This window comes from Homo sapiens, chromosome 7 (genome assembly GCF_000001405.40).
Source record: "Homo sapiens chromosome 7, GRCh38.p14 Primary Assembly".
Classification (NCBI taxonomy): Eukaryota; Metazoa; Chordata; class Mammalia; order Primates; family Hominidae; genus Homo; species Homo sapiens.
Genome location: NC_000007.14, coordinates 45,819,577 through 45,845,795, shown reverse-complemented (window position 1 = coordinate 45,845,795; position 26,219 = coordinate 45,819,577). Strand labels below are relative to the sequence as shown.

The 26,219-nt window shown below is 46.1% G+C and overlaps 2 pseudogenes; both read right to left on the bottom strand.

The window, feature by feature from the left end:
• Nucleotides 2,059–2,162, bottom strand: RNU6-326P (RNA, U6 small nuclear 326, pseudogene; annotated as a pseudogene).
• SEPTIN14P7 (septin 14 pseudogene 7) lies at nt 22,291–24,876 on the bottom strand (annotated as a pseudogene).

Sequence of the window (26,219 nt, the reverse complement as noted above, 5' to 3'; positions counted from 1 at the left end):
TGACCTCAGGTGATCCACCCGCCTTGGTCTCCCAAAGTGCTGGGATGACAGGCATGAGCCACCACGCCCAGCCTTTTTTTTTTTTTTTTAAATAAAGATCTGATCTTACCATGTTGCCCAGGCTGGTCTCAAACTCCTGGACTCAAGCAGTTCTCCCATCTCGGCCTCCCAAAGTGCTGGGATTACAGGGATGAGCCACTGTGCCTGGCCTAACCACACAAATTTTGACTCCAGAACTCAAGTGCGATTTCCTGGGCAAGGACATCTCACACAAGTCCTTGCAGTTTGCTCCTGGAAAAGATAAGTCTGTGCTGTCCCTGCAGAGGTTAAGTATGCATTTGACCTTCCAGCCTTCATCTATTAATATCCTTTTTCCTGCTGTCTTTGTATTGTATCCTCCACTGTAATAAACCTTCACCTAGAGTATAACTTGATCTAGAGTCACATGGGTCCTTCCAGGGAATCACCAAACTAGTTGTATGCGACCATGAAGACAAGAAATTCTTTTATTAAAACTATGAATTCAAGGACAGGCGTGGTGGCTTACACCTGTAATCCTAACACTTTGGGAGGTTGAGGTGGGTGGATAGCATGAGGTCAGGAGTTCGAGACCAGCCTGGCCAACATAGTAAAACTCTGTCTCTTCTGAAAATACAAAAAATTAGCCAGGTGTAGTGGTGGGCACCTGTAGTCCCAGCTACTTGGGAGGCTGAGGCAAAAGAATCGCTTGAACCCAGGAGGCAAAGGTTGCAGGGAGCCAAGATTGTGCCACTGCACTCCAGCCTGGGTGATAGACTGAGACACCATCTCAAAAAAAAAAAAAAAAAAAAAAGGATTCAGCTGGGCCTAGTGGCTCATGCCTGTAATCTTAACACTTTGGGAGGCTGAGGCAGGTGGATTGCTTGAGCCCCAGGAGTTGAAGACCAGCCTGGGCAACTTGGCAAAACCCCATCTCTACAAAAAATAAAAATCTAGCTGGGTGTGGTGGCGGGCGCCCGTAGTCCTAACTACTCAGGAGGCTGAGGTGGGAAGATCACCTGAGCCCAGGAAGTCAAGGCTGCAGTGAGCCGTGATTGTGCCACTGCACTCCAGTATGGGTGACAGAGTGAGATACAGTCTCACAATAAAATAAAATAAAAATAAAAAACCATGAATTCAATTTTTAAAATTGTTACAAGATTTTAAAAATTATGTTTCCTATGGAGTGTTTTTTGGTAGTTTGTAGTTTTCAAGGAATTGGTCCATTTCATCCAACTTGTTGGATTTATATGGGTAGAATTGCTTAGTATTCCCTTATTATCCTTTTGTTAGTTGTTTTGTTTTGTTTTGTTTTGTTTTTTGAGACAGAGTCTCACTCTGTCACCCAGGCTAGAGTACAATGGCACAATCTTAGCTCACTGCAACCTCTGCCTCCCTGGTTCAAGCGAGTCTAGTGCCTTGGCCTCCCGAGCACCTGGGATTACAGGTGCCCGCCACCACGCCTGGCTAATTTTTCTTTTTTTTTTTCTTTTGAGACAGAGTCTTGCTCTGTCGCCCAGGCTGGAGGGCAGTGACCTGATCTCACCTCACTGCAACCTCCACCTCCTGGGTTCAAGCGATTCTCCTGCCTCAGCCTCCTGAGTAGCTGGGACTACAGGCGCCCACAACCATGCCCAGATAATTTTTTGTATTTTTAGTAGAGACAGGGTTTCAATGTGTTAGCCAGGAAGGTCTCGATCTCCTGACCTTGTGATCTGCCCACCTCGGCCTCCCAAAGTGCTGGGAATACAGGCATGAGCCACCATGCCTGGCCTAATTTTTGTATTTTTAGTAGAGACGGGGGTTTCACCATGTTGCCCAGGCTGGTCTTGAACCCCTTACCTCAGGTGATCCACCTGCCTCCACCTCCCAAAGTGCTGGGATTACAGGCATGAACCACTACACCGGCCTTGTTTTGTTGTTTTGTTTTGTTTTGTTTTGTTTTGAGGTTTTGAGACAGAGTTTCGCTCTTGTTGCCCAGGCTGGAGTGCCCTGGCACGATCTAGACTCACTGCAACCTCCTTGTCCCAGGTTCAAGCGAATATGGAACGCAACACAAATTTGCATGTCATCTTTGTGCAGGGGCCATGCTAATCTTCTCTGTATCTTTCCAATTTTAGTATATGTGCTACCGAAGCATGCACAATTTTTGTATTTTGTGTAGAGATAGGGTCTTGCCATGTCACCCAGGCTGGTCGCAAACTCCTGAATTGAAGTGATTCGACCACCTCGGCCTCCCAGAGTGCTGGGATTACAGGCATGAGCCACAACACCTAGCCTCAAATGGAAATTTTAAAACAAAAATACAATAACAAAAATTTAAAACTCACTAGATGGACTCAATTAACAATATGAAGGTGAGGAAGAGTCAGTAGACAAACGTGGATTGATAGAAAGCATTCAAACTGGCCGGTCAAGGTGGCTCATGCCTGCAATCCCAGCACTTTGGGAGGCTGAGGTGGTGGATCATTTGAGGTCAGAGTTCGAGACCAGCCTGGCCAACACGGCAAAGCCCCGTCTCTACTAAAAATACAAAATTAGCCAGGCATGGTGGCACACGCCTGTAATCCCAGCTACTCAGGAGGCTGAGGCGGGAAATTGCTTCAACCTGGGGAGGCAGAGGTTGCAGTGAGCTGAGATCGCGCCATGGCACTCCAGCCTGGGCAACAAGAGCAAAACTCCATCACAAAAAAAAAAAAAAGTGCTGAAACTGAGGCCGGGCGTGGTGGCTCATGTCTGTAATTCCAGCACTTTGGGAGGCCAAGGTGGGTGGATCACCTGAGGTCATGAGTTTGAGACCAGCCTGGCCAACATGGTGGAACCCCGTCTCTACTAAAAATACAAAAATTAGCCAGGCTTGGTGTTGACTGCCTGTAATTCCAGCTACTCAGGAGGCTGAGGCAGGAGAATCGCTTGAACCTGGGAGGTGGAGGTTGCAGTGGAGCCGGGATCGTGTCACTGCACACCAGCTGAAATGACAGAGCAAGACTGCATCTCAGAAAAAAAAAAAAAAAAGAAAGAAAAAAAAAGATCAATGGGATTACTTGGTGTGTTTCTGTTTCTTTCAGGGAAATTTATCAGAAGAAAGAGAAAGGATATTTCAGTTTTCTCTGAAAAGCTGATTTTGAAAAGAGCCCTATATCTTATACATAATTTCCCCATGATTCTCCAGAATTCTAAAAAGGGAAGCACATTGTTAATGTTAAAAGGTTTTTTCCTAGGGCTATTTTTGGACTGGACAGAAAAGCAGAATAGTTTGTGTTTTGTGTGGACTTCAGAGTGCATTGAAGGCTGTAAAATAACCGATCTTGTTAGACATCTGTATCCAAAGTCACAGCACTCCAAGCATAGTATAACCCTTGTATATTACTAAAGACTACCCCATTGTTATGTTTTTGCCTTTTTTTTAATAAACCGGCTTTACTGAGACATAATTTACGGACAATAAGTTCTACATATTTGAAATATCAAGTAGATGACTTTTATCAAAGGTATAAAACATTTTCACCTCCTTCCCTCCCCTTTACAGGCAATCTCCCTTTCACTCCCCACTCCAGGCAACCACTCATCTGATTGTTCTCTCTATAGGTTAACTTTGCCTGTTCTAGAATTTCATGTAACTAAAATCACACAGTATGTGCCCTTTTGTGTTTAACACGTCTCACTGAGCACAATGTGAGATTCACTCACACTGCATGCATCAGTAGGTTCCTTTTTATAGTTGAGTGGAGGTTTTGGTCTGAACATACCACAATTTATTTATTCTCCTCTTGATTGACAAAAGGGTTGTTTAGGATTTTTTGGCTAAGTAAATCTCTTTTGAATGTTATTGGACTAGAATTTTTTTTTATTTCATTATTATTATACTTTAAGTTTTAGGGTACATGTGCACAACGTGCAGGTTTGTTACATATGTATACATGTGCCATGTTCGTGTACTGCACCCATTAACTCGAGATGGAGTTTTGCTCTTGTTGCCCAGGCTGGAGTGCAGTGGCATGATCTTGTTTCACTGCAACCTCCACCTTCCAGTTTCAAGCGATTCTCCTGCCTCAGCCTCTCGAGTAGCTAGGATTACAGGCACCCACCACCACGCCCAGCTAATTTTTGTATTTTTAGTAGAGACGAGGTTTCATCATGTTGGCCAGGCTGGTCTCAAACTCCTGACCTCAGGTGATCCGCCTGCCTCGGCCTCCCAAAGTGCTGGGATTATAGGCGTGAGCCAGCGCACCTGGCCATGTTTTTGCTTTTATGAGATATTCATTGGAATTAGAATTTGTTTGATGCCGCTTCAGGATATCAGTAATTATTAAAAGAAAATGTGACTTTTTAACAAAGCAGTCCAGGAATACATTGTAGAGAAAAAAGATGACTGCTTAAAATATGGCTATGGTTAAAATGTTGTCTATATTAAGGAACCTTCGTGAGATCCCCGACATCATTGTGAACACAATCTTTTGTGATTATGTTACATGATTTTCATCTTTTTTCAATTTATCTAAGTGCTTGGCCATAAAGACACAACTGACCACGCTTAACCCCTCTTGAAGACATTTTTAAATCTCTACATGAATACTAACTCCAACATATCTATCTTGTTTTTACCACAAGCATTTTGAAAAAGCAGAGTAGGCCAGGTGCAGTGGCTCATGCCTGTAATCCCAGCACTTTGGGGGGCTGAGGTGGGTGGATCAGCTCAGGTCAGGAGTTCGAGACCAGCCTGGACAACATGGTGAAACCCCGACTCTATTAAAAATACAAAAATTAGCTGGGCATGGTGGCAGGTGCCTATAATCCCAGCTACTCAGGAAGGAGGCTGAGGCAGGAGAATCACTTGAACAATCCAGGAGGCAGAGTTTGCAGTGAGCCGAGATCTCACCATTGCACTCCAGCCTGGGTGACAGAGCAAGACTCTGTCTCAAAATAAAAATTAAATAAAAAAAAAGAAAGGAAAAGAAAAATCTGATGAATGGGGAAAATCTATATGTATTCTTAGAAAAAAATGCTTTTCAGGGCTGGGCGCGGTGGCTCACACCTGTAATCCCAGCACTTTGGGAGGCTGAAGTGGGTGGATAACCTGAGGTCAGGAGTTCAAGACCAAATTGACCAACATGGAGAAATCCTGTCTCTACTAAAAATACAAAATTAGCCAGGCATAGTGGCACATGCCTGTAATCCCAGCTACTAGGGAAGGCTGAGGCAAGAGAATTACTTGAACCCGGGAGGTGGATGTTGCAGTGAACCAAGATTGCACCATTGCACTCCAGCCTAGGCAAAAAGAGTGAAACTCCATCTCAAAAGAAAAGGAAAAAACGCTTTTCAAATTTTTGCATTTCTGACAACTGGATGTCCCCACCTGCCAACCAGTCCTGTGGCCCCCACTCAGGAACTGACTCAGCCCAAGAGGACAGCTTTAATTCTCTATGATTTCATCTCCTGCACCCAACCAATCAGCAGGCCCCCTATCCTAGCCCCTTGCCCACAACACTATCTTGGAAAAATCCCTCTTCTGCAAGACGTTAGCAAGATTGATTTGAGTAATAACTCCATTTCCCACGTGGCATAGCTGGCTTCGCATCAATGAAACTCTTTAACGCCATGGTCTTCAGTGGATTTTGTTTGTGTGGTAGTCAGGAAGAACCCCTTGGGCCATTACAAACATGGGGACATGTAGAGGACCATTTTAGGGACCCCATTCTATTGAGTGCCATGAATACAGAAAAAATCGTGATTCCATTTACATGTTTTAGAAGTGAGAGAAACTCCAAATATGATATGGTCAAGTTGTGCAACAGAATTCAGAATTTATTCAATATTACAGTGTTTATATCACAGAGAACATCTTTGTCACTTATACAGGCAGTTTTCCCTGGGGCTCACATGCTATTGAACACTGTAACGTTTATTTTGGAGAGAATCTGTGGAGATGGGGGAGGCATCGTCAACATTCCAATGCAGCATCAGCTAATTCACATGCAACAAAGAGTCTATCAATGCAGAAATGTGCAAGAGCTTTTGGAAAAGTATAGCTCATTCAACATCAGAGAATTCACAATGGAGGAAAATCGTATGTGTGTAATGGACGTAAAAATGCTTTGAGATGGTGCCCAGAGCTAATCAGACATTCTGGGATTTTGTAGCACAGAGGGGCCTTGTGAGTATAATGGATGAGGAAGAACCTTCAATCAGAGTTCCATACTTAGACAATATCAGCTAATTCAGGTGGGACTTTAAATGGTCATACGTAATGAAGACGGAAAACTCGGGGAAGCATGGGGAATATGGAATGTGAGATCATCCACACTGGAAAGAAGTCTTAGGAGTACAATGAGTGTGGAAAATCACTTGGGGACAAGTTTAGCTTTCTCATCATTGGAGAATTCACACACAAAAAAGGAATGAGCTTGGACGGATCATGGGAGAACTTTCAGGCACTAATCAGGCTAATTCATCCCGGAGAAAAACCTTGATGATGAAGAAGGGGAAAAAGTCTTCCAGTTTTTTTCCTTATTGGATTTCAGAGAATCCTCAGTGACATATAGAGAAACTTGCTGGAGGAATTCAGGGTTTATTAAGATTCACGTTAAAACATTAATCCCATTAAAGTAGGAGTTTAAACTTTTTTGCTTCTTTCACCCCAATCAAAGTTTTCATTCCTTACGTCTCTGTTGAGGGAATGAAGCAACAGGCAAAAATCAATGGTGCACTGGCTTTGCCTTTCAAAACATTACACAATATGTGGGGTGCAGAAGGACAGCATTGAGAGGTGCTGGGTTTGGTGCCAGAATATGGCAGTTGCAAATTCTAATATCATCACAACACACTCATAGGTAGGCCCCATATATCTGATGAACTTCCAGGACCACATCTCTACAAATGCTGAAGATTATTTGGAGATGGGAAAATGTGGCTGCAGGTGCTTTTTCTCCAGGTCTGAGTAAAATGAAATAGTGGGTATTTCTAAGATACATTAGGAGGATGCCAGTTTCTCTTTGTTTCATATTTTCAAAAACAGAGATTTAAAGAGGATGGGCTAGAGCTCTTACGTTCAGCTTCTTATTCCATAAGGGAAGAATCAGGCGTATTTCTTGTGTTGAAGCAACACACACACACACACATACACACACACACACACACACGCACATGTTGTTTGGCAAAAGTCAGACCAGAAGAAAGCTTCTCTCCTACCAGCCTCATTCCTTGGCCTTGAACCAGCATTCTAAGTCTTCCAATACATCCTTGTCTCTCCCTACAGTAACTCTCCCATTGAGTTCTGTTTTTGTTTGTTTTTTGAGAAGGATTCTTGCTCTGTAGCTAGGCTGGAGTGCAGTGGCACAATCTTGGCTCACTACAACTTCTGCCTCCCAGGTTCAAGTAATTCTCCTGCCTCAGCCTCCCAAGTAGCTGGGACTACAGGCATGTGCCAACACGCCAGGCTAATTTTTGTATTTTTAGTAGAGACAGGGTTTCAGTATGTTGGTCAGGCTGGTCTCAAACTCCTGACCTCTTGATCCACCTGCCTTGGCCTCCCAAAGTGCTGGTATTACAGGCGTGAGCCATCATGCCCGGCCCATTGAGTTCTTAATAGAAGTGAGTTAGGTTTTGTAGATTTTTGGCTCCTAGCTTTGCTTAGAGAAGCCAGAAAGAGGCTCAGTGGCTCACACCTAGAATCCCAGCACTTTGGGAGGCCAAGGCAGGCAGATCACAAGGTCAGGAGTTCAACACCAGCCTGGCCAACATGGTGAAACCCCATCTCTACTAAAAATACAAAAATTAGCCAGGTGTGGTGGCATAAACCTGTAATCCCACCTACTGGGGAGGCTGAGGCAGGAGAATCGCTTGAACCTGGGATGCGCAGGTTGCAGTGAGCCGAGATCGCACCACTGCACTCCAGCCTGGGAGACAGAGTGAGACTCCATCCTAAGAAAAAAAAAAAAAAAAAAAAAAAGAGAGAGAAGCCAGAAAGAAAATGTAGGAAAAAAGAGGAGAGGCAGGGGAGATGAGGAATGAACAAAGTTGCAGAGGGGTTGGGGTGGGGGGCGGTGGCTATGCACATAGAGAATGGCAACTGAGGACACCTTATTCCTGAGAACTAAGGTGGCACTAAGGTTGATGGCTAGAGAGTAACTGAAAGGCCTATTTCCCACTAGGCCAGTTTAGTTCCAGCTGCCATCAACTTTTTCTAGTTAGTTCCCTTGCTCACACTCAAAATCTCAGGCATTAAAGCCCCACTGAGTTACCACAATTCATCGAGTCCTGTTTTAGAAGATGTCTAAGGCTGGGCAAGGTAGCTGACACCTGTAATCCTAGCACTTTGGGAGGCCAAGGTGGGTGGATCATGAGGTCAGGAGATGGAGACCATCCTGGCCAACATGGTGAAACCCTGTCTCTACTAAGAATACAAAAAAAAAAAAAAAAAAGTTAGCTGGGCATGGTGGCACTTGCCTGTAATCTCAGCTACTTGAGACCCTGAGGCAAGAGGATTGCTTGAACCAGGGAGTCAGAGGTTGCAGTGAGCCGAGATCACACCACTGCACTCCAGTCTGGCAACAGAGCAACTCAGTCTCAAAATAAAAAAAGAAGATGTCTGGAACTTGCATGAATATCTCTTTCTTTCCTTGTCTATGTCCCCTAGGCCTTGGGGTTAGGACTCTGAGCTGGGATTCCTCTGTAGGCTAAGACCAATCCTCATTCTTATTCCCTCCATATGAGCAATAATTTGATTTCTAATGTCTAAACTTAGGTTGATTTTCCATTGGGAGTTACAGCAACAGTCACGGGGTTCTGAGAAGCGGTGAGGGATGCTTTAGGCTGCAGGTAGCAGAAATCTGCCCAGAAAATAAAGACACGTGACTTACAGATCAGTAAGACTGGAAGTGGGGGTTCCAGGATAGGTATGGTGGCTCAACGCTGTCATGGAGGACATAGGCTCTGCCATCCTCAGTATGTGGGCTTTTCCCCTTGGTCTTGTTGCCTCGTGGTCTCAAGATGGTCCCAGCCATCTCGCCATATGTTTTTGTTTTGTTGTTGTTGTTGTTGTTGAGACGGAGTCTCTCTCTATCACCCAGGCTGGAGTGCAGTGGCATGATCTCGGCTCACTGTAACCTCCGCCTACAGGTTCAAGCGATTCTCCTGCCTCATCCTCCGAAGTAGCTGGGATTACAGGCATGTGCCAGGACATCCAGCTAATTCTGCATATTTAATAGAGACCAGGTTTCACCGTGTTAGCCAGGCTGATCTCAAACTCCCAACCTCAGGTGATCCACCCACCTCGGCCTCCCAAAGTGCTGGGATTACAGGCATGAGCCACGGTGCCTGGCCCACAATTTTTGTATTTTTAGTAGAGACGGGGTTTCACCATCTTGGCCAGGATGGTCTTGAACTCTTGACTTCGTGATCCACCTGCCCTGGCCTCTGAAAGTGCTGGGATTACAGGCGTGAGCCACCATGCCCGGGAAATGGGATGGCGTGCTGCATGGGCTGGAAATCCCTCTACGTTCTAGCAGCACAGCTAAGTCACCCACCCACTTCTAAGCCAACTGACAGCAAAGGGAACAAGTGGCAAACTGGCTGCAATGACACCCACAGGCAGGAGGTCCCCCTGGGATGGCTTCTCTCGGCCCTTTTTGGAGTCCCAGCTCAGTTCCTGCCCTGTCCTCCTTTATCCTCTCGCCAAAACCAAGCTCATTTTCCCTCCGCAAGGGGATTTTCTCCATGGCTTAGCTTATTTTGGTTTTGCTTCAATCGCCAAGTTTCTTCTCCGGTGTAATTCTGGCCAGCACACTGGTCTGACCAGGCCCTACTTGCCCTTAGGACATCTTGTTGCTCATTGATTCTACTGTCTGGTTTTTCCACTCCAATTTCCAAAAGGGGCCATCTGACTGGCCTGGCTGGCTTTCCCTACATTTGTGAGCCAGATGACTTCAAAAATCACTGGCCAGCTGTATGTGATCCTGGTCCACTGAACTGTATATCTGGGGGCTTGGGGGGTGGCAGAGAGGCAGGGTCACATGGTGTGACACAGCTGCCTGGGCAGCGGTTTCCATGGAGAGGCTGGGGGTAGCACAGGTGATGGTGCAATGGTGTAGGGTATCCATAGAGGGTTCTCAGAGCCCAGCAACTGTACAAGATGACAAGGCTACTCTGTCAGGGAGAGAGACCACATGGAAGAACATGAGGCATCAGTCATGTGACTGCAAAAGCCACTTTGGACATTTCAGCCCCAATAGCTGTGGAGGAGAGGAGACCTCAGACATAGTGGAGCAGAAATAAACTGGAACACAAGACTCACGGAGCTGAGGGCATCATCACAGATTCTTGAGTCCCAGCGGCCTCAAGGCTTCCATGGCTCAAGAATGTCCCCCAATTCCCACAGCAGAAATTCCAGTTGCTGCAGGTAGAAAGCTTGAGTTCTCTCATGAACATGGCTTTAATAGTGATTGGAAGTGTTTCTTGCCTACTGGATTTAGGATGTTGAAAAACTTTTTTTTTTTTGAGACGGAGTCTCATTCTGTCACCCAGGCTGGAGTGCAGTGGCATGATCGCAGTTCACTATAACCTCTACCTCCCAGGTTCAAGCGATTCTCCTGCCTCAGTCTCCCGAGCAGTTGGGACCACAGATGTGCGCCACCATGCCTGGCTAATTTTTTTTTATTTTGTTTTTGAGCTGGAGTCTTGATCTGTTAACCAGGCTGGACAGCAATGGCGTGATCTCGGCTCACTGCAACCTCTGCCTCCCGGGTTCAAGTGATTCTCCTGCCTCAGCCTCCCAAGTAGCTGGGATTACAGGCATGCACCACCACACCCGGCTAATTTTTGTATTTTTAGTAGAGATGGGGTTTCTCCATGTTGGCCAGGCTGGTCTCAAACACCTGACCTCAGGTGATGTGCCCACCTTGGCCTCCCAAAGTGCTGGGATTACAGGCATGAGTCACCGCACCCGGCCTTGGGAAACTTTTTGTGGCTTTGACAGGCTGAAGAAGGAACTGTGGAGGCAGGACTATTTCAAGATGGCCCTGTTACAGACAGAAAATGGGCTGGTTCTTCCAGCAAATGGAATTTTAAAATTCTTCAATGGAAAAATGAGAACTTTTAGAAACATGGGTGATGGGCAGAGCTGGATTTGAACCCCTGCTCTTCTACTTACTAGCTGCATGACCTTGGGCAAGTTATTTAGCCTCTTTAAGTCTTATTTTTTTCATTTGTAACAAGAGGATAGAAACACACCTCTTTCACAGGGTTGCTGGTAGGACTAAATGAGATACTGCATGGGAAACAATTGGCACCACTGGCCCAGGACACATGATGGTGACTGCGATTGTGAGTCACTTATGCACTTGGCAAGTGAGGGCCAAAGGCCCAGTGAGAGACCCAGCTAGAGCTTCAGGGCACTGGCTTGGCTCTTCTTAACAGGGATCTGGTGCCCTCCATGGTGGGGACTGGGGATGGGGTAGGGGTGTCTTTACAGCTCTCCATCTAGATCCAGTTTCTTGAGCAACTTTATAGAAGCCTCTCATTTTATTTATTTATTTATTTATTTATTTATTTATTTATTTATTTATTTTGAGATGGAGTCTAGCTCTTGTCACCCAGGCTGGAATGCAATGGCTTGATCATGGCTCACTGCAACCTCCGCCTCCCGGGTTCAAGCAATTCTCCTGCCATAGCCTCCTAACTAGAATTACAGGCCTGCACCACCATGCCCGGCTAACTTTTCTATTTTTTTGTAGAGACGAGGTTTCACCATGTTGGCCAGACTGGTCTTGAACTATGGACCTCAAGTGATCCACCCGCCTTGGCCTCCCAAAGTGCTGGGATTATAGGCATGAGCCACCATGCCTGGCCCTCTCATTCTCTTTAGAATGGCCTTTGCTACCCCCATGGGGATGCCTAGCTTCTCCAATAGCCTTCACCTGGTCTTTCTTCCTCCTCTCTTTATTCCTCCTCTTTCTTTCTCTCCTACTCTCTCTCTCTCTCTCTCTCAGGGTCTTGCTCTGTCACCCAGCCTGGAGTGCAGTGGTATCACATCTCACTGCCACCTCGAACTCCTGGGCTCAAGCAATCCTCCTACCTCAGCCTCCTGAGTTGCTGGGATTACAGGCATGCTCCACTACACCTGGCTAATTTTTAAATATTATTGTTTGCAGAGACAGGGTCTTGCTATGTTGCCCAGGCTGGTCCAGAACTCCTGGACTCAAGTGATCCTCCTGCTGTGACCTCCCTAAGTGCTGGGATTACAGGTATGAGCTACCATGTCCAGCCAGGTTATTAATGTCAATCTCCGTCACCTCCACCTGTTTTTGTAATTTCTTATCCAATTTGGCCTGGGGATCATCACCAGAGGAGGGATTTGAGAGGGTATTCTTTTTTTTTTTTTTGAGATCGAGTCTCACTTTGTTGCTCAGGCTGGAGTGCAGTGGCACAATCTCGGCTCAGTGCAACCTCTGCCTTCCAGGTTCAAGTGATTCTCCTGTCTCAGCCTCCCGAGTAGCTGGAATTACAGGTGCGCACCAGCATGCCCGGCTAATTTTTGTGATTTTAGTAGAGACAGGGTTTCACCATGTTGCCCAGGCTGGTCTCAAACTCCTGGGCTCAAGCAATCTGTCCACCTTGGCCTCCTAAAGTGCTGGGATTACAGGCATGAGCCTCTGCGCCTGGCTGAGGATATTCTGGAGGCTCACTGTAAATGGCATTCCAGCTATACAATTCCAGGACTTGAGCAATGAAGCCAGCAACCGGCTGTCTCCTGTGGCCTGCAGAGAACTGGGTAAATACACGAGCATCTGGTAAGCAGACAGAGAGGCAGCTGGCCAGGGAACTCCCTTTCCTTCTCTCCTGAATGCTGAATGACCTGCTGACATGTTCGGCAAGTCAAAGTTCAGCAGTGTGGAAGACTTGGCTTTCTAGGAAATGCAGTTCTCACAGGCAGCGCCAACACTAAGAACTAGTTCTTACCATCTGTGTCAAGATAACAAGAATTTTAACTTACTAGGTTTTTTTTTTTTGTACGAAGTCTTGCTCTGTCACCCAGGCTGGAGTGCAGTGGTGTGATTTTGGCTCACCGCAACCTCCACCTCCCAGGTTCAAGCAGTTCTTCTGCCGCAGCTTCCCAAGTAGCAGGGATAACAGGTGTGTGCTACCACACCCAGCTAATTTATGTATTTTCAGTAGAGTTGGGGTTTTACCATGTTGGCCAGGCTAGTGTCCAACTCCTGACCTCAGGTGATCTGCCTGCCTCGGCCTCCCAAAGTGCTGGAATTACAGGTGTGAGCCACTGTGCCTGGCTAGTAACTTTTAAAGTTAGAAGGGAGCTCCAAGGCTATATAAAACTCTGGACTTGGCTGGGCGTGGTGGGTCACGCCTGTAATCCCAGCACTTTGGGAGGCCGAGGCAGGTGGATCATGAGGTAAGGAGTTTGAGACCGGCCTGGTCAACCTGGTGAAACCCTGTCTCCACTAAAAATACAAAAATTAGCCGGGCATGGTGGCACTCACCTTTAATCCCAGCTTACTCGAGAGGCTGAGTCAGGAGAATTGCTTGAACCCAGGAGGCAGAGGTTGCAGTGAGCCGAGATCACACCACTGCACTCCAGCCTGGGCAACAGAGCAAGACTCCATCTCACAAAACAAAAACAAAAAAAACTCTGGACTTGCACACAAATTTGTTCCCTCTCAGAGGAGATTGACATTTCACCACCAACAAAAGGTGAGAGGCCTTTTCTGTCCTGTGTCCTTGAGACCCAGAACTTAGCCATATATCAATGGGATGATGTCCTCCCCAGGGGCAGGAGCAGACCCAGGTGGGACATTTCAGCACAGTCCTTAAGGTCTGTTCTCCTCGCTACCTCCAAGAACTCCTTGGCTGCCTGGGAACCAGAGTGCAACATTCATTCAACAGATACTGAGTGCATACCTACTACGAGCCAGATGCTAAGCTGGGCACTGTGGACACAGAGACAGGCCTAAGGCATAGCCTTGCTTTCAGAGAGCCCCAGGTTCACATCGAGGGTGGTCCCTGAGCTGGTCATACTTAACTAGGACTGTGAATGCACAGCTCCCCAGCAATGGTGACTTCTATTTTTTTTTTTTTTTTTTTTTTGAGAGCAGTCTTTCTCTGTTACCCACGCTGGAATGTTACCCAGTAGAATGCTCTCAGCTCACTGCAATCTCCACCTCCCGGGTTCAAGCGATTTTAGTGCCTCAGTCTCCTGAGTAGCTGGGATTATAGGTGTGCACCACCATGCCTGGCTATTTTTTTGTATTTTTAGTGGAGATGGGGTTTCACCATGTTGGCCAGGCTGGTCTTGAACTCCTGACCTCAGGTGATCTGCCCAACTTGGTCTCCCAAAGTGCTGGGATTGCAGGTGTAAGCTACCACCGCACCTGGCCAACAACACTGACTTCTTGCTTGTTCCTTGCCTTTCCATCCCCAAAATTGTTCCCAGGGCCTAGTGTAATACAGGGCAACTAGCAACAACTCTCAGGCAGAGCTGAAGCTGTGGAGACCAAGCATCGACCACCTTGGCTAATGCGGCTGGCCTGCCTGGGGCTGGAGGTTGGGAGGGGAGGAAGAGGTGGCAGTAAGTATAAGATCACCTTCCTCCCCGTGTGACCTTCAAGGGGCAACCACCCTGAAGAAGGCGGGCTACATCTTCAGTGGAAGGTAAATGACCTGAACAACAAACCCATCTGCCTAGATGACATCGTCACAGTTATAAGCAGTCTCCTGTCCACACAGTCCGCCAAGCCACCCTGAGTGTCTCAGGGTTCAAAGGATTCTTGGACCATCCAGAGGACAAGGGGCGGCCCCTCTTCAAAGATCTCTCAGTCTGCTTCAGAAGAAAAAGTCATCAAAAGATAATGAAGGGCTAAGTGTGGCATGAGTGTTAAACGGGTTTCACAGGCAGTGCATTCTCATGAAGGGAAGCAGGGGAGCAGGGCTCCAGGCTCACAGCATCCCAGGAAGGCTTCAGGGAACAGGTGGGCTTTGGGCCAGGCTTAAAGGATGGGCAGAATGCGGAGTGGCAGGGGTGGGCACCCCACTGCATTCCAGGGGGCGCTGACCATCAGCAATGACATGGCACTCAGAATACAGTTTGGGCTAAGCACGGTGGCTCATGCCTGTAATCAGAGTGCTTTGGGAGGCTGAGATGGGAAGACTCCTAGAGCCCAGGAGTTCAAGAGCAGCCGGGGCAACACCGTGAGACCTCATCTCTATAAAAAATTTAAAAATTAGCCAGGTATGCTGGCGTGTGCCTGTAGTTCCAGCTGCTCAGAAAGCTGAGGTGGGAGGATCACTTGAGCCCAGGAGGTCAAGGCTGCAGTAAGCTATAATCATGCCACTGCATTCCAGCCTAGAAATGCAGAGCAAGACCCCATCTCTTAAAAAAAAAAAAAAAAAGGTACCACTTTGGGGAAATTGCAGACTCTAAGCCTAAACTCTACTGGCCTGATACACATGGCAAAACACTTGGTCAGGATTTGCAGTAGAATATCAAAGAACTCACAGGGCAGAGGAAAGCTTCAAATATTATGAATGAGGGAAAATTTCCATTCATCTCATAATTCATACTAGAGAGACTCCCAGTGAATGGCACTAGTGGAGGAAAATCCTCAGACGGAGGCGAGCTGTTATTGGAGATGCGAAAATCACAGGGGAGGACAAAGCATAGAAGCGCGTGGAACCATGTCACAGCTTGCACCTGAAAGCATCACACGGGAGAGAACTTGCATCCTCAATGAATGGCATTCCAAAAAAGCGCAACCGCATCAAGCATCAGACAAGCCATTCTGAGCTCAGTCTTTGCAATGTAATGAATTGGGGGTGGTAATCATTTGAGAAGAAATCAGCCCTTACTCATCAGCCAATGGTTCCGACTGGAGAGAGGGCGGGTGCTCATCATGGATGATGAAGCTCTCGGGGTGCTCCGATCACATATAACAAAGGAGGCTGCAGAAGGGGCCTGAGGAGGGCTGTCAGGGGGTCCTAAGGGTACACGTGACATAAAACGTTCACAAGAGGAAAACATTTCAGATGAAAGGGGCGAACTTAGAAAGTGATTTCGGGCCGGGCACAGTGGCTTGCACCTGTAATCCCAGCACTTTGGGAGGCTGAGGTGGGGCAGGGGGAGGGGAATCACTTGAGGCCAGGAGTTCATGACAAACCTTAGCAACATAGCAAGACCCCATCTCTACCAAAAATAAAAAATAAATCAATAAAAAATTTTTAAAAGCTTTTTTTGGAACTTGTCCTCTTAGAACCAGGAATGGCTGTGGGGAACGCAGATACCCTTCAGAGGAGTCTGCTCAGAGGACACAATTGTGCACATGTGATCCTTGGGGTGACTTGCAGGGGTACCCTCATGCCATGCACAAGAATCCAGCCCAGCAGTTCTCAAAGTTTCCTTTTCCCACAGAGCTATACATTTTCTTTATCTTCCCTCCTCCTTCCTCTTTGTCCTTTGGTAAAGTCCAATGTCAATTTTTCTGTTCCTTGTCGTTGCCTTGGGAGGGTGTCCTGGCACCTGTGTGTTCACATGTTCTCTGCCTGGCCTGCCTATCAAGAGGCTGGTGGCAGGCCAGACACAGTGGCTCACCCCTGTAATCCCAGCACTTTGGGAGGCCAAGGTGGGCAGATTGCCTGAGGTCAGGAGATCAAGACCAGCCTGCCCAACACAGTGAAACCCCATCTCTACTAAAAATACAAAAATTAGCTGGGCATGGTGGTACATGGCCTGTAATCCCAGCTATTAAGGAGGCTGAGGCAGGAGAATCACTTGAACCAGGGAGTTGGAGGTTGCAGTGAACTGGGATTGCACCACTGCACTCCAGCCTGGTGACGGAGTGAGGCTCCGTCTCAAAAAACAAAACAAAAAAACCCAGACATGGTGGTGGGTGCCTGTAATCCCAGCTACTTGGGAGGCTGAGGCAGGAGAATCACTTGAACCCAGGAGGCAGAAGCGGAGGTTGCAGTGAGCCGAGATCACACTACTGCATTCTGGCCTGGGTGACAGAGTAACTCTGTCTCACAAAAAAAAAAAAAAAAAAAAAAAGGAGGCTGGTGGCCACTGGGGATCATGCCCCAGGGGATACTGTGATGGCTGCTTCATTCATTCCTTCATTCTTTTCATGTCTTTGGAGCATCTATTCCGTGCCTGGCACTACTCTTTGTCAGGGGATAGAGGAAAGGGCAACCTTGGGGAGGACAGAGGTGGGTCAGGAAGTAGCGGCTGCTACTTGAGATTGCAGGAGTGTGTGTGTGTCCCAAGGTTCCAGAGGTGAGTGAGCTTAGGCAGGGGCACTGGGAAAGAGGGAGGAAGACCCTGATCTAATGACTGCCTACCATGTGTCAGGCTGGCGGGCAATGTGTCACAGCAACCCTGCAAGCTTGGTCCCATTTTCTCACTTTGCAAATGAAGAAAATAAGGTATGTGCACAGCTGGTAAGTGGTAGAGCCAGTTCTGAGGCTGGGTCGGCCTTCCTCCAGATCCCATTTCTTTTATTTATTTATTTTTAGTTTTATTTTTTTCTGAGACAGAGTCTTGCTCTGTCACTCAGGTTAGAGTGCAGTGGCACTATCTCGGCTCACTGCAACCTCCACCTTCTGGGTTCAAGCGATTCTCCTGCCTCAGCCTCCTGAGTAGCTGGGATTACAGGTGCGGGCCACCACACCGGGCTAGTTTTTTTATTTTTAGTAGAGACAGGGTTTCACCATGTTGGTCGGGCTGGTCTTGAACTCCTGACCTCATGGTCTGCCCACTTCGGCCCCGCAAAGTGCTGGGATTACGTAGGCCTGAGCCACTGCACCTCTTTCTGGCTTCTCTAAGCAAAGCTAGAGGTTTCACCATGTTAGCCAGGCTGATCTCAAACTCTCAACCTCAGGTGGTCTGCCCGCTTCAGCCTCCCAAAGTGTTGGGATTACAGGCGTGAGCCACCACACTCGGCAAATGGGATGGCGTGCTGCATGGGGTGGGAATCCCCATACGTTCTACCAGCACAGCTAAGTCACCCGCCCACTATGCCCGGCTAATTTTTGTATTTTTAGTAGAGATGGGGTTTCACCATGTTAGCCAGGCTGGTCTCAAACCCCTGACCTGAGGTGATCCAACGGCCTTGGCCTCCCAAAGTGCTGGAATTACAGATGTGAGCCACCATGCCTGGCCTCTTTTTTTTATTTTTTAGAGACAGGGTACACCTGTCACCCAGGCTGTAGTGCACCGGCGTGATCATGGCTCACTGCAGCCTCAACCTTCTGGGCTCAAGCTATCATCTTGCCTCAGCCTCCCAAGCGCTGGGATTACAGGCATGCACCACCACACCTGGCTAATCTTTGTTTTTTGTAGAGATGGGGGTCTTACTATGTTGCCCAGGCTGGCCTCAAACAATCCTCTTGCCTTGGCCTCCCAAAGTGCTGGGATTACAGGCGTGAGCCACCGCGCCCAGCCCGAATCCCATTTCTTTCCACCATCACAAGGAACAGAACTAGTCCTTCAGCAGCACTGTTCCTTGGGATGTGTCTGCAGAGGCTTGGGAGACAATGAGAGGCACCTGGTGAACAGGGAGGGAAGGGGATGGAAGGAAGTACACTGGCTTTTGCAGACACTTCTCAGGGAACAGGGAAGAATACACTCATTCATTCCTTCATTCACACATTTAGTCAATTTTTTTTTAGAGACAGGATCTCATTCTGCCAGCCTGGCTGGAGTGCAGTGGCACAATCATGGCTCACTGCACCCTTGAGCTCCTGGGTTCAAGCGACTATCCCACCTCGGCCTCCTGAGTAGCTGGGACTACAGGTGCACGCCACCACACTTGGCTAAGCTTTTAATATTTTGAAGAGATGGGGTCTCAGTATGTTGCCCAGGCTGGTCTCAAACTTTTGGTTTCAAGTGATCCTCCCAACTTGGCCTCCCAAATTGCTGAGATTAAAGGTGCGAGCCACTGTACCTGGCCATATTTAGTAAAATCCTTACTGAGCCCTGTGGTGTGCAAAGCATGGTATCGAGGTGCTGGGCATAGGTGTGCATGAGGTTGACACGTGCTCACCCTCATGGAGCTTCCATCTGAGAAGGCAGGCAGACACTCCAGTGTGCTAAGTGGTGTGACAGGGGCTCATTGGGCCCAATGAGAAGCTCAGAGAATTACACAGACTCACAGGGTGGAGGAAGACTTCTGGGAAGAGGTAACTGCTTATGAAATACTGGGAAGGCTGGGCACAGTGGCTCACACCTGTAATACCAACACTTTGGGAGGCTGAGGTGGGAGGATCACAAGGTCAAGAGATCGAAACCAGCCTGGCCAACATGGTGGAACCCTGTCTCTACTAAAAATATAAAAATTAGCTGGGTGTGGTGTCGTGTGCCTGTAATCCCAGCTACCTGGGAGGCTGAGGCAGGAGAATCTCTTGAACCCAGGAGGTGGAGGTTACAGTGAGCCGAGATCATGCCACTGCACTCTAGCCTGGGCCACAGAGTGAGACTCCATCTCAAAAAAAAATAAAAAATAAAAAAAATAAAGAAATGCTATAAAGACCCTTCCAGAAAGGTGCATACAGGAGGGTCTGCTGGTGGCAGAGATGAGTGATAGCAATTGCAGCTGACATGAGCCCAGTGCTGTCTGGTAACAGCATGTGGGGGTGGCTGTGGCAGGGAAAAAGGCCAGAAGCAGGGCCAGGGCATCGGGGCCTGACAGGCCTTATAAGGAGTTCACAACTGGGTCCTGGGCAATGATGGGAAACCAGTGAAGAGCATGAAGCTGGGGGAGATGACCTGCGAAGCCTGAGGCTACAACACAAGGGGAGAGCTGTCCAAAGGTTCACCAAATTCAGGCCGGGTGTGGTGGCTCATGCCTGTAATCCCAGCACTTTGGGAGGCCGAGGCTTGGTGGATCACCTGAGATCAGGAGTTCAAGACCAACCTGGCCAACATGGTGAAACCTTGTCTCTGCTAAAAACACAAAAAACTATCCGGGCATGGTGGTGGGTGCCTGTAGTCCCAGCTACTTGGGAGGCTGAGGAACGAGAACCGCTTGAACCCGGCAGGCGGAGGTTGCCATGAGTTAAGATCGCACCACTGCACTCCAGCCTGGGCAACAGAGCAAGACTCTATCTCAAAAAAAAAAAAAAAAAAAAAAGGGAAAAAAGCAGCATGCAGGAAGTTCTGCCGGTGGCTGAGGTGAGTGATCGCAATTGCACCTGACATAAGGCCACTGCTGTCCAAAAACAGAGAGTGTGGGGTGGCAGGTGACAGGGAAGGAGGCCGGAAGCTGGACCAGGACATCCCGGGCCCGACAGGCCTTATGGGTCCTGGGCAATGATGGGACATTGGTGAAGGGTGTGAGGCTGGGGGCGATGACCTGCAAAGCCCAAGGCCGCAACATGAGGGCAGACGAATTCGGGCAGAATGGTCCAAGAGTGAGCACATGAGTTCTTTTTTTTCCCTCATGAACCAAGGTTTCCAAGCGGCACGCTGAGCAGTAAGCAATAAAGCTAGGAGTGACTAAGGGTGATCTGAGTGAGAGCTGCCAACACCAGGTGCCAGGGCTGAGATTTCCAGTTTTCGGGCTGATGTTCCTGAGCACATATCCCCCTTTTGTGGCTGAGAGCGCTGTTGCTGCTGAAGAGACAGGCTGAGGACCCCGTCCAGCCTCTCATCCTGAAAACCACAAGATATGGTCCAGGGGCCAAATCTACCTTGGGGACCCCAGGAGATTTCCCACTTGGTTTTTAGAAAAATCTGATTAAGGCTGGGCGCAGTGGCTCACGTCTGTAATCCCAGCACTTTGTGAGGCCGAGGTGGGAGGATAATCTAAGGTCGGGAGTTCCAGACCAGCCTGACCAATATGGAGAAATTCCATCTCTACTAAAAATACAAAATTAGCCGGGCGTGGTGGCACATGCCTGTAATCCCAGCTACTCCAGAGGCTGAGGCAGGAGAATCGCTTGAACTCAGGAGGCAGAGGTTGCCATGGGCTGAGATCGTGCCATTGCACTCTGGCCTGCGCAACAAGAGCAAAACTCCATCTCAAAAAACAAACAAAAAAAAAAAACAAAGAGAAGGCAATGTGGGGACATAGCAGAGACTGGATAAAGAGAGTACATGTGCAGGTTTGTTACATGAGTGTATCATGTGATGCTGAGGTTGGGGGTATGAATGATCCCATCACCCAGATAGTGAGCATAGTACCCAATAGGTGGCTTTTCTGCCCTTGCCTTCCCCCTCTGTTCCCTCTGCCCCCTCCAGTAGTACCTTGTGTCTGCTGTCCCCATCTTTATGTCCATATGTACCCAATGTATGTCCATATGTCCCACTTGTAAGTAAGAACATGCAGCATTTGGTTTTCTGTTTCTATGTTAATTCTCTTAGGATCACGGCCTCTAGCTGCGTCCATGTTGCTGCAAAAGTCACATTCTTTCTTATGGCTGTGTAGTATTTTACAGTGTATATGTACCACATTTTCTTTATCCAGTCCACCATTGATGGGCATCTAAGTTGACTCCATGTCTTTACTATTGTGAACAGTGCTGTGATAAACATACAAGTGCATGTGCATTTTTGGTAGAATGATTTATTTTCTTTTGGGTCTATATCAAGTAATGAGATTGCTGGGTAAATGGTAATCCTGGACAGATTCCTTGAGGCCAGGAGTTTGTGACCAGCCTGGGCAACATGACAAAACCCCATCTCTACTAAAAATACAAAGAAATTAGCTGGGCATGGTGGCACATGCCTGTGGCCCCAGCTACTTGGGAGGCTTAGATGGGAGAATCACTTGAACCCAGGAGACAGAGGTTTCAGTGAGCTGAGATCACACCACTGCACTCCAGCCTGGGTGACAGGGCAGGACTTTGTCTCAAAAAACAAACAAACAAAAAGACAATGTGAGAATGTTGAAAACTCAGAGAGAAGAGCAACTCTCACAGATAGAGATCCAGATAACATTAGCAGCTGATTTCTTGGCAGAAACCTTGAAGGCCAGTAGGCAGTGGATTATATATTTAAAATAATGAAGAAACCTGTCAATTGAGAAATCTACAGCTGGAAAACTTATCCTTCAAAAATGAGGGAGAAATTAAGACATTTCCAGATATTTTTTTTAAACTGAAAAAAATCCATTTATCCCTGAATTTGCCATTCAAGAAGTGTTAAGTCCTTCAAGTTGAAACAAATGAACTCTAGGCAATAACTATATAAGTAACTAAGCAAGCTGTATGAATATACAAAGCTCTCTGGTAAAGGTAAATACATAAACAAACATAAAAACAGTCCTATTGTAATTTTGGTTTGTAACTCTGCTTTTTATTTTCTACATAATTTAAAAGGCAAATGCATAAAATGTAATTGTAAATCTGTTAGCTGGTACACAATGAATAAAGATATAATTTGTTACATCAATAACATAAAAAGAGTAGAGCTATATATATAGCAGTAGAATTTTGGTATGTGATTGAACTTAAGTTGAAATAAATTCAAATTAAAATGTTATAACTCTAGGATGTTATATGTAATTCTCATAGTAACCAAAAACAAAATATACATAGAATATAAACAAAAGGAAATGAGACTAGAAACAAAATGTGTCACTACAAAAAAATCAACTAAAGATAAAAAAGAAATAAATAATTGAGAAAATGATTGGCAAAAATCAGTAACTCTGAGGTATTAAAACTTTCCATGCTACATAAATCTGAAAACTCTATTTCACATAAAACTGGAGCTGAAAGAGACAAATATTTACCTATAAAGTTAAAAGTTATATAGGGAACAAACACTAATTTTTTTTAGAAAAAATTATAAAAAGAGTAAAAATATGCCTTATACTATCATAATTTCATGTTTTACAGCTCTGGGAAAATAGAAAATAAAATGTTCTGTTAGCATGACTCCTTCTGTGCCCCCAAAAAACCCTATGGATTGCATCATTATTACCTAAAAAGTCTATTCTCAAATGCAGCAGAGTGATATTTTTTACAAGGTAGATATTAATTTTAGATATGGAATAATATTGGTGATTTCAATTTTATAACATTGGGTTAAGATGAAAGAATGAGAAGATAAAGGTCCCTCAGCAATATAACTCACAAACATGTTCAGAAACAGTAAGAAGTTACATTAATTATCTTTTGAAAGTCAATAATCTACATCTTTAATGTATGCATATAGCATAGCTAATGTACTATCGCTGGGTCCATTTATTCAATGAATAATTGCCGCTATGTGTCAGACATTTTTCTAGGCCTAGGAATGGATACATAAGTGAACAAAGCAAAGATTCTGGTTCTTGTAGAGTTTCCATTAAAAGACCATTTAGTAAAACTTTTCTTCCCCCAAATTATAAAATCTGTAAGATGATTTAACAACATGTATAAAAAGTCCTTGTGGGTCAGGCACGGTGGCTCATACCAGGTGTGGTGACTCACAGCACTCTGTCACACAGGCTGGAGTGCAGTGGCACAATCTCTGCTCACTACAACCTCTGCCTCCTGGGTACAAGCGATTCTCCTGCCTCAGCTTTCTGAGTAGCAAGGACTACAGGTGCACACCGTCACGCCTGGCTAATTTTTGTACTATTAGTACAGATGGAGTTTCACCATGTTGGCCGGGCTGGTCTCGAACTCCGGACCTCAAATGATCCGCCCACCTCAGCCTCCCAAAGTGCTGGAATTACCCATGTGAGCCACAATGCCCGGCCTTATTTTCTACAACTTTGGTAACTTTAGCATATACCTCAAATCTGTAAGACATAATATAATTCAAATGCAACTCATGGCTTTTCATTGTACTCTTTCTCTAGCTTTTGAATTATTTATTCTAATATCAGTTTTAATTCTGACACAAAAGCATGGGAGTTCTAATCAAAATCCAACCTTTTATCATAAAAACTATGAAGAAATTATGAGTAGAATTTAAAAAGGAAAATAGGCCTATTAATTAGATTTGTCTTTGTAGCATTTAACTCTATAATAAATAACATAATATTTTATGCCTATGAGTCCCCAACAAAGCCTCCAGCTTCTATTTAGATATAAAATGTAAAAGTCACTACTGGATCCACAAGCAAGACTATGGTAAAGAAATTTCTCCACCTAACCAGCTCCTTTTACATATGTTACATGTTTCTTTTGTTTTTTCATTTTGGCAAATATTGTCATCTTCGTGTTTGTCTATGTCCTAAGTGCTGGGATACAGAATCTGAAAAGATGGACACAGGACCTGCCTTCAAGGAGTTCACCTTTTTTTTTTTTTTTTGAGATGGAGTTTTGCTCTTGTCGCCCAGGCTGGAGTGTAATGGTGAGATCTCGGCTCACTGCAACCTCCACCTCCGGGGTTCAAGTGATTCTCCTGCCTCAGCCTCCCAAGTAGCTGGGATTACAGGTCCCGGCCACCATGCCTGGCTAATTTTTGTATTTTTAGTAGAGACAGCGTTTCATCATGTTGGTCAGGCTGGTCTCGAACTCCTAACCTCAGGTAGTCGACCCACCTCGGCCTCCCACAGTGCTGAGATTACAGGCATGAGCCACCACGCCCTGCTAGGAGTTCACGCTTTAGTTGGGGAAAATAAACAATAAGCAAGCCAATTTTTAAAATGAGAACTGCAATTAGAGTTAAATGCTACAAAGACAATCTCACAGGAAGATGGGATGTAGAATGATAAGGCTCTCAGAATAGTAACAGAAACTATTGCTTCTTACGATGCTTGTCTTTCTTTGTATCAGTGCTCAGCTGAGTCTGCAGTGCTTCAGAGGCAGCTTTCATTTTATAAAAATCTATGATTTCTCCTTCCAGTTGTTTTTTCTCTTCCTCGAGCTTCCTTATCTCCTCCTGTTGAATCATTTTAAGATGCTCGAACTTGTCGTGCAGCTGTGAAACCAATGTGCAGTTGTGACACCAAAGCACAGTGTGGCTGAACACCCAAAAGAATATGCTTTTTTCTGATTATCAAACAAACCCAAATCATCACAGTAGAGCATGATCTTAATAACAATCTCAAAAACTCAGGAGTAAACACTCAGATATGGAATTTTTCTTTTCTTTCTTTTTTCCTTTTATAAGATGGAGTCTCACTCTGTTGCCCGGGGTGGAGTGCACCGGTGTGATCTGGGCTCACTGCAACCTCCATCTCCCAGTTCAAGTGATTCTCCTGCCTCAGCCTCTTGAGTAGCTGGGACTACAGGCATGCACCACCACTACAGGCGTGTGCCACCACACCTGGCTAATTTTTGTATTTTTAGTAGAGATGGGGTTTTGCCATGTTGGCCAGCCTGGTCTCGAACTCCTGACCTCAGGTAATCCTCCCGCTTTGGCCTCCCAAAATTTTTTTTTTTTTTTTTTTTATATAGAGACAAGGTCTCAGTATGTTGCCCAGGCTGGTCTCAAACTCCTGAGCTCAAGTGATCCTCCCACTTCAGCTTCCCAAAGTGCTGGGACTGACTGGATGCAGTGGCTCATGCTTGTAAACTCAGCATTTTGGGAGGCCAAGGTGGGAGGATCGCTTGAGCCCAGGAGTTCAAGACCAGACTGGGCGATATAACACAATAGTAAACTTCAACAGGAGAGATAATCTGTAAACTTGAATATAGATCTTCTGAAATTATCCAGTCAGAGGACAAAGAAAAAAGGAGTAAAAAAGAGAAAAGAATGCTGGGCATGGTGGCTCAAGCCTGTAATCCCAACACTTTGGGAGGCCGAGGCAGGCAGATTAAGAGGTCAGGAGTTCAAGACCAGCCTGGCCAACATGACAAAACCCCATCTCTACTAAAAATACAAAAATTAGCCGGGTGTGGTGGCACACACCTGTAGTCCCAGCTACTTGGGAGGCTGAGGCAGGAGAATCGCTTGAACCCAGGAGGCGGAGGTTGGAGTGCAATGTGAGCCGAGACCACACATTGCACTCCAGCCTGGGTGACAGAGCACAACTCTGTCTCAAAGAAAAAAAAAAAAAAAAGAAAAAAAAAAGAGAAAGAGAAAAGAAAGCCAACAAGACACCATTAGGCAAACCATTGTCAGGTTATGGGAGTTTGAGAAGGAAAGTAGAGAAAGGAGAAGAAAGCTTATTTAAAGAATGGCTGAAAACTGCCTAAATCATGGGAAAGATTTAGACATCTAAATCCATGAAGCTTAAAGATTCCTAAAGAGCTTCAAACCAAATAGATACTCAACAAGTCACAATATAATCAAATAGTCAAAAGTTAAAGAAACGTTGCAG